Source organism: Homo sapiens, chromosome 4 (genome assembly GCF_000001405.40).
Source record: "Homo sapiens chromosome 4, GRCh38.p14 Primary Assembly".
Classification (NCBI taxonomy): domain Eukaryota; kingdom Metazoa; phylum Chordata; class Mammalia; order Primates; family Hominidae; genus Homo; species Homo sapiens.
In genome coordinates this window covers 84,378,493-84,390,062 of record NC_000004.12, presented here as the reverse complement: position 1 = coordinate 84,390,062, position 11,570 = coordinate 84,378,493, and the positions used below count along the sequence as shown (strand labels likewise).

Sequence of the window (11,570 nt, the reverse complement as noted above, 5' to 3'; positions counted from 1 at the left end):
TAGCTACACAGGTGTGCACCCGGAGCTCATCCATGAGAAACCTCCCCCAGAAGTTTCAGATAGATATAAGAGAGGAAAGCAATTGGATTTTAGTAATTTGCACTAGAGTGTGAATGATTGATAGACTTCTCTCACTCTTCCCAGTGATGCTTACTTGTTAATGCAAATGAGTCTCTTACTTCTGAACTGAGCCAGGCAGTAGGAAAAGACTCTTTTTCTTAAATCACACGATGAGGCCCTTTGTTCTTATTTCTTTTTGTGTGCAAAGCAGATCCTGAGAGAGAAAATGGGAACATGAGTAGAATCATTTAGGGTTTGTAGAACTGAAATTGGGCAGAAGAGTCATCTGCCCTGAAATACCTTGGAATAATTCTGGATCCATTATTAAGAGAGATGAGAAATGGCATTGGAATGAGAGGAAATAAGAGTTGTGGCTTCCAGTCCCCAGAGGGGGATGATGTTGAGTTGGTTCTGCTTCAGTGTAACCATGGCCACCCCGATCTGTTCCTGTCTCCTACGGTGAAGAGGGGACAGCACAGCCCTAAGGTAGCCTGAATGTTTAACCCATCTGGGTTGTGAGCACCTTTGATTCTCTCAGCTGGAGAGTTGGGCAGGCTGGTGCCTCTGAGATTTAGATCTAAAATCTTCAAGAGAATTTAGGAATCAGGCCAGGTGCAGTGGCTCACGCTTGTAATTCCAGCACTTTGGGAGGCCGAAACTGTGGATCACCTGAGGTCAGGAGTTCAAGACCAGCCTGGCCAACATGGTGAAGTCCCATCTCTACTAAAAATACAAAAAAAAAAAAAAATAGCTGGGCATAGTGGCACACACTTATAGTCCTAGCTACTCGGGAGGCTGAGGCAGGAGAACCTGGGAGACAAAGGTTGCAGTGAGCTGAGATTGCGCCACTGCACTCCAGCCTGGGCAACAAGAGTGGAGCTCCATCTCAAAAAAACAAAAAACAAAAAAAAATTTAGGAATCAAATCATGTCTTGTTCTACTCAGCTGCCTTCTCCCATGACCCACCATCTGACTCTAGAAATATTGGCTTACATGGATACTAAGTATAGTCATTATGTGCACTCCAACCCTGATTACCATTCATTATAGCAAACACTCATTCAGTCATTCCATAAGTAGTCTTGTAGGTGTGCACCTGTGTGTGGACAAGGATCGTAGAGGGGTCATTGTGGAAAACAGCATGCTTTGACTTGGCCCTCAAGTCATTTAACTTTCAGTTCTGAAAAACTTGTAATAATGTTTGAGTCAGAACACATCCCCAGATCTCACGCCATGTCTGAAGAGAGGGTCAAGAATGATGTGATGCTGAATAGTGTCTTTAACAAAGATTATTTGGTATTAAAAGGAGGAAAAATGAAAAGAAAATACCACTGCTCCCTTTCCTTTATTAAAATGGCTGTGTCAAAAAAGCTGGATGGGATTGTCCCCTGCTCACACTGTTTCCAGAACCATCCGTGGGTCGCCCCCTCCCCCACCCTGTAGCCTGTTGCTGGAGAAGCCCTGATACTGGGGTCTGCCATCTGAGAGGCCATAGTGGTGGAGAAGCAGACAGGTGCCGATTCGACTTGCCCTTGGATCTCCTCACTTATTCACTGAGTGCAGCTGAGAGCTTATTTCCTGCTGGGCGGTCAAGGGCTGCTTTCACAACTAGTTGTTCTACATTTTTTAGCAGCAGCAGTGTACTGAATCTGCTGCTTTATTGAATTTACAAAAGTTACAGCTGAAAACACCAGCATTTACTGAACGCAAGATACTCTCAAGAGAATTCATTCATTCACTCACTGATTCTTTCAACCAAAATTTACTAAGCATATACTCTGACGGGCATTGGTCTCTAGGTTACTTAAGGTCTCCTAGGAGCATTAAATTCTTTTAGTTTGGATGACATAACAGTTTATTTTTGTCATCCTCAGAGTTTTTATGTGATTTGTTTTTTGTCATAAATGCAAACCAAAACCTCTCATTTTTCCTATCTCCAGCCAAAATTTCCCCAATGATCCAAAAACCTAAATTTTCTTCTGTCAGTTCTTTTTCCAGAAGTACATTATGTTTACCGTAGCTCTGCATTTAGTAAGGGGGCAAGAAATTAACACAATTTGCCTGACTAGAGGAGTATTTAAAAACTCTTCTGTTTGGGGATTGTCATATAATTTCCAGGTTTTCACAGAGGAAATGGAATTAAGATGAAGGTCATCATTAAATTGAAACAAAATTTACTCCTTTTGTAGCTCATCAGCTACTAATTAGTGAGACTCTCACAAGCACGGAACAATACTATAGATTAGGACCTCCTGTCAGCCCTCACACTTAGATCAGAATCCATAAAAAGCCCACTTTCCCAGGGATGGCCGGGGAGCAGCCCTGGGTCTGCCAAGTCTCTGTTATTGAGGATTTATTTAAATATACTTTTAAAAGCATTTTCTCCTTTACAATGAAGACTTTTCTGTGTGTATTTCAGTAGACATTTAAAATCCCATCCATAATCTTTTTGAAATCTTTCCCTCATGAAAATGTCTTGGCTTGAGACCTAGCTAGCATTTCAGTCTCTGAGGAGGGGAGGAAAAGCTGTGAGAAAAAACAATGACATAGAAAGGGACTGCCACTGAGAATAAACACTTTGCCCTGCCTTGGGTGAGTATTGAACTTGGGGAGGGAGGGCATGAGACCCGGAGAAAAGACTGGTGTTCTTGCCCCTGGCTCTTGTGTCTTTCTTGGAATAATTCCAAGGACTTGGAAGAGTAGGGACAGGTCCGGAGAATCTGAAATTTAACGTCTCAATTTGCTCTTCCTCGTTTTCTCTTTTTACCCATCTGTGTGACTGTGTTTATGCATGTTTGTACACTTGTGTGTAATTTTTAATTTTTCCTTTGTTTTCTGCCTTTGGTTTTGAGATTCCAAAACAAAGTTCTAAAGTTACTATTATTGTGTAAAGTTTGACATTGGCAGTCTGAAATTTTGGAGAAAAGACACTCTTTTTCTACTTACAAGGTGATAGCAAGGTTTGAAGGGTTTTTGCCTTTCCCTCAGTCGTATCTCTGATCCATCCATGGTCTCTAAGATGATCCCTTTTATGGTTTGAAGACAGACCCGTGCTGGCAAGACAGTTACCTAGTTATCAAATGTGGTGAGGCCTTGTCCTCCTTATAATATTATGAGTTCAGGATAAGCCACCAAATCAAAGCACTGTGGATGATATTCTTATTTCTTGCTTAAATTCTTCTCATCCATGCACTTCCCATGCCACTATTAAGGAAAGTCTGGAAGAGAGGGGAGGTGCAGCATGAAGAGCTGGGTAGGAACATAAAAGAATCTTGGAGCTGGGTAGGGACATAAAAGAATCTTGGAGAATATTTGCCTGGTGTCAGTTTGCAGAATGACTGAAAGCAGTGGAGAGTGGTGGTGAGGACACAGTACCTGTCTTGTGGGTTCTCCTTTAGAAGGCTCTTGCAAACCTGGATTAGCTTAGTGACAACATGAATGGAAAACAGGAGAGCTAATTTTTTAAGCCAGAAATGATTGACCTCAGTATTAGATTAGATGGAGGGACTGAAAGAGAAGGAGTGAAAGATGATGTTTCTGTTTTTGACTTTGGAGAAAGTAGTTCCCAATCAAGGAGAAGAAGAGTTTACTAATAAGTAATTTATTAAGTGTCCACTCTACATTAATATTGTGCTCAGGCATCGGGGGCACACACAGAAAAATGAAAGCCCTGTTTTCTGCCACAAGACAGCCATACTGTAGTTTGAGATAGTGAAACAATCTGTTACAAGACAGTATAGACTAAAATGACAATAATAATAGCAGTTTCTATTTATCGAAGTTAGTTGTGAGATGGGTCCATTGCTAAGCACTTTCTATTGTTTTTGTCATATTCTCCATACAGACCTAGGACAGTAATGTGATATAAAACTGAATTTTGATAAAAAACAATAACTTTTATGGAGTACTTACTAAGGGCTAGGGGCTGCGTTAAGAGCTTCATAGAGATGCTCATCCCTCTGAGATTGGCACTACAGTGACTCACAGATTGCAGAGAAAATGGGGCTTTAAGACTAGTTCTATGTCCAAGTTACACAGTTAACAAGCTTCTAATAAGGGCTGGGACACAAATCTGGGTCTGCCTAATTCTAAAGCCAAAGTTGTTAATAGACAATGCAATGCTAAATTATCTGAATCAAAAAGAAATATCCCTATAGTCCTAAAATACAGGCATTTAAGATTTTTTAAAAACATAATCAAAAGCTCTGGCAGAACGAGTATTCACATAAAATTGCCGTTTACTTATGGCCAAGCCCTATTAATGAGAGCTTCATATCTTCCATTTCCTGTGTTCTGTTGACTCACTTTATTATTTCTAAATGGGCACAATTAATTGCGAGGAAGACTTGCATGTGCTCATGCTACCTATGAAAATGCTGTAAAGATTCCCCATTCACTACAAAGTGTAGACTGTGCTATTGAAAGTAAAGTACTGTCAAGATAAATCAGGGAAAAACCCCTCAGAACCGAACGCTGTGTTGGAGAGTATCTTTAAAAGCTTATGCTTAAGAGGTATTCCCTTGGAATGCTTTAAAGAAACACTAGTTGTTTAAAGGGCTTCAGCCACCCTCTGCAATCTTAAGCATCAAAATGCTCACAGCTGGCTAGAAGAGGGTAACAAAGCAGTGCACTGTGGTCTCATTTCAAATCCATAGGCTCTGTGGGTTTCTGAGTTTCCCTTTTGTGTATGACATAGAGTAAACTTTCAAGAGAGTTAATATAAATCCTTACATTCTCATTCACCATCTACATGAATGATTGTGGATAAATAGTCCCATATGCAAAAGGCTCTTGTGTGAGTTCAGTTCAGAGCCTACCAACAGCTCCACTCAGTTTTGGGGTTTCCAATCCATTCTTAAATTGTTTAATTCCAAAGGCAAATCTTTTAATGTCACCCTCCTGTCTCCTTCTCTTTCCAAGCAAACTGTGCTACAAAAGCAAAGGCCTCCCCTGGCCTTGTTTACTTAGAGTGCAAACCCTATTCAACCCAGTGATGTCAGATTAAAGGAAGAAAGGGGAGAGAAATCAAAGCCTTAAACTGCACATAAAAGGCAATCGCTGGCAACCAATCTGTTCAACTTCCAACTATTTGCACTTTATGAATAAAGGTCAATCTGTTATTGGCACCCAAATGTTAATGTTCTTATGAGGGTTTAAGCTGCTTTAACAGCTGAATAAGTGAGAGTGAGCTATAGGGCCACACCTAATCATTCAGGTCCAGCTGGGACACGGGGGAGCATCTCAAAAAGGCAAGAGAGGCAGATAGTATGTGTATGAAGAGCTAGCAGAGGGGAGGTGGGCACACATTTAATGAGGGGTAAAAGATGAGATCACGTATAATACAGGAAACTCAAGACTAAATGTCCATGTGGCTTTTTTCTTATAAGTTTTACATGCTGCTTGCTATATATGGCAGCCAAGCCTGCCCTGGACCTGGACAGCCTTATATAATCAATTATCTTCTAATATGTATTTAATTTTTCTCTTTTAAAAACAATACCTCCAAATATTTCATAGCCCTTCAGTCACAGTATCCTCTGGATCAGTGGTAGACAGTACAGTAACGAGGCAAACCTCTGACTTCCTGCTTGTGAGAATGCCCTTCTCCTTTCCAGTCTACATCTGTACTTACGGACACAGTCACACTAGAGGCATGGAGTTTCTGAGTGAATAACAGTAGATGTAGGACAAAAAATCAACTTGGTCGTGCTAATGGTAGTCATAAAAGCATCTGTTTTTCCTAACACGTTTTCTGGTGGTGGCTAGCATAGGGACAATTGAATTGTACAGATTTAATTTCTGCATTAGGCAGAAAATGAGTTAATACAAGCCAAATGCCAATTTTTTGTGCCCTCTAAATTATTCCATTCCAACGGGATCAACACTTAGTAGAGGGCACATTTGGTTTTGTTCCTTCTATCTGTGAGGCAAACACATCTCAGAAGTTTCTGGGTCTGTTCCTAACTAAATGTCACATCGTCTCCATTGGCCTCCATTTCCTTATTAGTAAAATGACCGGTTACCTTTAAAATCCCATCCAACTCTGCTGCCCTCTCTCAGCTGGTTTCTTCAACTATGTAGTAGAGATATGTTACTGTGAAGTTTAAGGAGTTTCTTTAAAAAGACCTTTTACCCCTAGCAAACTAATGCAGGAACAGAAAACGAAACACTGCATGTTCTCATTTATAAGTGGGGGCTGAACAATGAGAATACATGAACACAGGGAGGGCAACAACACACACTGGGGCCTGTAGGGGTAGGGGGCCCTGGGGGAGGGAGAGCATCAGGATAAATAGCTAATGTATGCAGGGCTTAATACCTTGGTGATGGGTTGATAGGTGCAGCAAACCACCATGGTGCATGTTTACCTATGTAGCAAACCTGCACATGTATCCTGGAACTTAAAATAAAATAAAATTTAAAAAAACTAAAATGTAATACTTACGTAAGACATACTTATTACAAATAGGACTTTTATGAAAAATGGAGGGTATCCTTACAGCTAGACGTAGGAAGGGACATAGGGTTATTGCTTATCCCCACTTGCTGTAGTGTGAGCAGAAACATGCTGTTCACATCCTCCTTAATTTTCCCCATCAAGCTTTTGCTGACACAATTCCTTCCACTTGGCTCATCCTTCCCCAATTCTAACCATCTGTGAATGTGCAACCAGTTGAAATGACTATCTTTCCATCTCTTTTCTGTGATTACCCTTTATTCTGTGGCTTCACACATTCCTTGATGGATTATCATTGATTCTGTTCATTTTTGTCTCCTTTAGAAGACAACAAATCCTTTGAAGTCTGGAACTGTGCCTTTATATGCCCTCCAGTGCCTAGAAAGTTCTAGATTGTGTGGAACGCAAGCAATATCTCTTTGTTAAACAGAATTCAAATAATACTTTTTCTTCCTGCCTTCCAAATAAGCTAATTTATTTTTAAAATAGGTAATACCTTCAAATGTTATAAATGTCATAAGTTACAAATTAACTCACAAAAAGTAATTCTTCTTCCCACCCCTTCTCCCTGTCTCTCATTTTTCCTCCAGGAAACAACTACTATTATTGGTTTCTTGTGTTACTCTTTTTAGTTTATTTATTTTTGAAATAGTCTTCCAGGATGTAGAAAGTAAAACTGAGACCATATCTAAAAGTATTTAAATGCTAAAGGAGGGAAAGTCTCACAAACTGGGAAGAATCATTCTCTATTCTTCCCATCATTCTGTGGCAGACAATACTTTTCCAGGGCAAACAACGGCTGCCTCCATTCAGGAACTGCAGGTTCTAGTGGAGTGAAAAGATGTTATTAGCAAGCTGTGTCTTGTTGGGCAAGACCTTTAACCTTGTTGTACCTATTGGGTTGATGTCTACCAAATCTCCCATCCCCATAGTTCTCTGATTCTTATCTGAAAAAGAGTCGTTTCACAAAATCAGAGAATCAGCATTTGAGAAAATGAATTCGATATTAGCATTTTCAATTAGGAATTTAACCTTTGAGCTGGTGAAGTGGCTTTGCCAAATCAATCTATTTAGGAAATTAAAAATAAAATTAGGCACATTTATTGCAAATTAAAGTGAAATGGAATTGAACATTTCTAACTGGCGCCAGAAAAGAGATGTCCCGTGGAGATCATTGTGCCAACAAGGGAATGGGGCCAATCTCAAGTGCTACGCATTTCTTCTGGAGCTAGGAGCCTTATTTCTGCTTCTCAGTGGGCTTTGGGATAGGGGTAAGGCAGGGAGGGCTGTGAGATCTGTAGAACTCTGCTCAATCTCTTCTGTATATGTGTTGAGTCAGTCAAGGTCCTGGCAGGAAACAGGTCTCACACTCAAGCTAGGTAATCTGAAGAGAGTTTAATAATGGGCTATTTACAAATGGCTACACAGCATTTTCAAAAATAAAATGGGGAGATTCTAGTATCTTAAAGTTAGTAAATAGGAAACCACTATCACCCACTCTTTGGCTTGAAGGGGCAAGAAGGAGAAGAGGTATAGGAGGCTCTAGAGAAAGCAGCTACACAAGGAGGGCTCCTGATGAGAACTGAAGATTGCAACATCCAGCATCCACCCATCCTCCCTTGCCTGAACAACCCTAGTTCCTCCTTTAGGATTCCTCCAGGTATCTTCTCTGCTGGGAGAGCCTTCCCTGAGCTCACTGGTCTGGGCTGAGTACAGAGTTTAGTTGTCAATGTAAGAAATATGTGAATCTTCCTATCCTAGCACAAATCACACTGTTTTGTATAATAATTGATTCTTTACTTTTCTGTCTCTCTCGCATGTCTGTGTGCTTCTTGAGGACCCAGAATCTATCTTATTGGGCTTTTTTTTTCATAGTATCCAATCAAATGCTTGTGGAGTGATGGGAAGGAAGGAAAGGACTAGTTCTGTCTCATCTCATAGTGCTTTCGTGTTATTACCACTGGGGGACGTGGGCTACAGCTACAGGCAATTCTCTGAGTGCCTAGAGAGTTTTGCTCTGTATCTCCTGTCTAGGATTAGCCCTGAGGAGATCACCAGCTAAATGTGAAAGAAAGTTTGCTCAGAATTTTCATCATAGCATTGTTTAGGAAAAAAAATTAAAAGCACTAAACCTGATGAGGAAGATACATGAAAAGATATTTGTGATATATTGCTGTGTGAAAAAGCATCTTACCTACTAATAAGAGCACTATGATCATATTTTTGTAAGGTATATGCATAGTTATGTGAATTTGGACAAATTATTAATAATTACCCTCTTCACGCCTCACTTTCCTCATGTGTAAGCTACATCTACCTCAGAGGGTTGTTCTGAGGAGTAAATGCACAGTATACAAGATAGCTCGTACATGGTTAAGAACTCAGTATGTGTTCCCTCTTATTATTAATCTTATCTACATGCACAGAAAGATATATGAAGGAAAGTTCGCAAAATATTTCCACTAATTATTGTTATGCACTTTACTTTCTTCTTTGTACATTGCTGTGTTACTTGAAATTTTTTCACAATAATCATCTATCAGTTTTGCAACAACACTAGCTGCTAGTAAAAGAAGAACTCTTGTCTTATTTCCTCCACTACCACTTGTTAACTTTGTGTCTTTGGGGAAGTAACTGGACACCTCTGTACCTCATTTCCCTCATCTATAAAATAAGTATTCATTTCTTTTCTATCTCTGAAGATTTTGCTACAGATGAAATGAGTTATTGGATTTGTACATGTTTTTAGAAGCCATCAAAGTAATACACAAATATTAGATATTATGATTGTTAACTTAATTGGAATAATTTACTCGGATTTTTTTTCTACTTCTCATCCGGGTGTTTTGTGGGAGACAAGCCGCCTTTATGAAGAGGCCTTAGGAAGCCCATCAGTGGTGGAATTGCTGGTAACACCAATGACCTGTTACCATCCTCATGATGAAACTGAGAATTCCTAGCCACCGAATGATTAACACGGCATACTATGTTCTGAGCTTACCTTTGCCCTGGTTTGTTTTCATTGCCTGAGATCATTCTTCTCCCTTCTGGACACGTGTCTCTCTCCTTTCAGTATGAGTTTTGTGCATTTCCATGCTTTGTTGCTGACTTGCGATATTAACTTAACAAGAGTGAGAGGTGAGCCTATTAGCACACTTTTGGTGAATTGGTAAAAGGATTTAGAGGGTGAATCACCACGCTGGTTCATGAGGTTGAAAGGGCTTTGGGAGCCACTGGGGATTTGGTAATATTTACCGCAATTTCTGACGCATCATCTCTTTCCTCTTCACTCATGAAAAATGCAGACGCCTTCAGGGAGGAGGTCCCAGTCGAGCTTGACAGCATTCTGGGAACACAAGGAGGGACCTGTAGTCAAAATGCACAAATCTGAAGGAGGCCTTTGTGCACAGAAGCTGTCCTGCCTGTAAATGTCCCCAGTCACCAGATTAGTGCCAATTTATTTTCCAGTGAAGACACCAGGGGTCTGGGGGTGGGGTGGAGTTTGCAGGAGGGAGCAAAAAGGAAAAGGCATACTTAGCACCAACCACATGAGAGCCCTGCTCTGAAGTAACGGCCAAATGAGCGTCCACTGAGTGTCTGCTGATGGGCGTGTGCTGATGCCTCGTAAGTAGAACCGCGAGCATGTGTGCTTGGGTGAATATTAGTGTGATCAGGTTATGAATATTTCTTTTATGTGACACATTTAAAATTGTAATTAAATTTTTTGCTCTAGCTGAGAAATAACATTTATTTTTTTAACCATGAAAAACAAGTTTATCATAAGAAATGATGGATAAGTTTGAGTGTATTTCACTGCCTGCTCCTCCCTCTCCCCCCACCCTCCCCTCTGCCCCTTCACCCCCACTCCCCAGTCTTGACAACATGTTTTAGCACACATTGGGCTCTTGAGGTGTTCAGGATTTAAGGCCTCCCTGAGAACCAGAAGGAGTACATTTACTCTTTCCTTTCCCACTCTTTGGAAGGTTTCAGTCCAAGCTTATAAAAGTCATTTCCATTTTCAAAAGCAGAGTTGGTAAAACACTTTGGAAACTTTCCCTGCACCCCCATCCCCTCCCACCCCACTCCATCTTCTTGTTCGAGAAATGCAAATCTAAAGCCAATCCTATTTTATGTTAAAAAGTGAAAAACATTTCAATGTATTCTTGTCTTGTATGACTGGCTGAGAGCCTCTAAATCCCCACCATTTACCAAATTAAACTAATTGAAAGTGCTTCCAAAAGCCACATCTGTAGGCTGACGTTTGTCCCTGCCTTTCACTTTGGGCTCGGGAAACTGTTCTCCATTCCATTGATCCCTGAATAGTCATGCCTGTCAGGAAGCCACATCAGCCATTATCATTCTAATTTTACTGCCTTTCTTGGTCCCTAATCTAATTTGCAATGATGCTTAAGCATTTCGCAAGGCCATAGCACTTTCTTCAGAATTTCAACAAGAGCATTAAACCCCCAATTTACATTAATGAAGTGCACATTTAATTAGGGGAAAGGGTAAATGGAGGGCTCTTCAGGAGCAGTTTGTGTGATATGATAGGCACTCGAAAAGGAAAGGAGATATATCTGATAAAAGACTTGCCATCCATCAGATGGCTTGATTTCTTTCCCTCACCCCCCTAGGATTTTCCCAGCCTCATCTTCCTTCTCATTTCCAACCCTTCCATCAACTAACTCTACCTCTCTAAAATTTGCTCCAAAGCCATGACAATAAAATTATGAAAGCAGACCTGTCAACAAGGGAGGGCCGGGCATAGAACTATTTAAGAGGATCGTGTGGTTTTCAGTTCCCCTGCTGCCCCCCAAAGGGAAGATTAACTTGTTCTTTTAAATAATGAGAAACATAGGAAACCATCGCCAGTCTCCCTGTTTAATGCATGCATTAAGCACACAGGCTGAGGGGCACAGAGCTACACAAACTTGGCTTGCTGTTGCGAACAGGGTGGGCAGGGGAAGGGCCGGGGATGAATTTCTGGTCATAGATCCTATGCAATGAATTCATTACCACATATTATCTGAGATGCAGTGATGTCATGCCATTA

General features: G+C 40.7%; 3 annotated features.

Annotated features, from left to right (window-relative positions):
* Positions 4,395-5,108: an enhancer, noted in NCBI's record as "OCT4-NANOG hESC enhancer chr4:85306108-85306821 (GRCh37/hg19 assembly coordinates)". NCBI's record gives its function as "activates a minimal SCP1, AML or CMV promoter by ChIP-STARR-seq in primed H9 embryonic stem cells {active_cell/tissue: H9 hESC(primed)}" and the evidence as "EXISTENCE:reporter gene assay evidence [ECO:0000049][PMID:30033119]".
* Positions 10,580-11,264: an enhancer, noted in NCBI's record as "OCT4-NANOG hESC enhancer chr4:85299952-85300636 (GRCh37/hg19 assembly coordinates)". NCBI's record gives its function as "activates a minimal SCP1, AML or CMV promoter by ChIP-STARR-seq in naive H9 embryonic stem cells {active_cell/tissue: H9 hESC(naive)}" and the evidence as "EXISTENCE:reporter gene assay evidence [ECO:0000049][PMID:30033119]".
* Positions 10,713-11,007: a silencer, noted in NCBI's record as "tiled region #8005; HepG2 Repressive non-DNase unmatched - State 24:Quies, and K562 Repressive non-DNase unmatched - State 24:Quies". NCBI's record gives its function as "represses a minimal TATA promoter and a strong SV40 promoter by Sharpr-MPRA in HepG2 and K562 cells {active_cell/tissue: HepG2 | K562}" and the evidence as "EXISTENCE:reporter gene assay evidence [ECO:0000049][PMID:27701403]".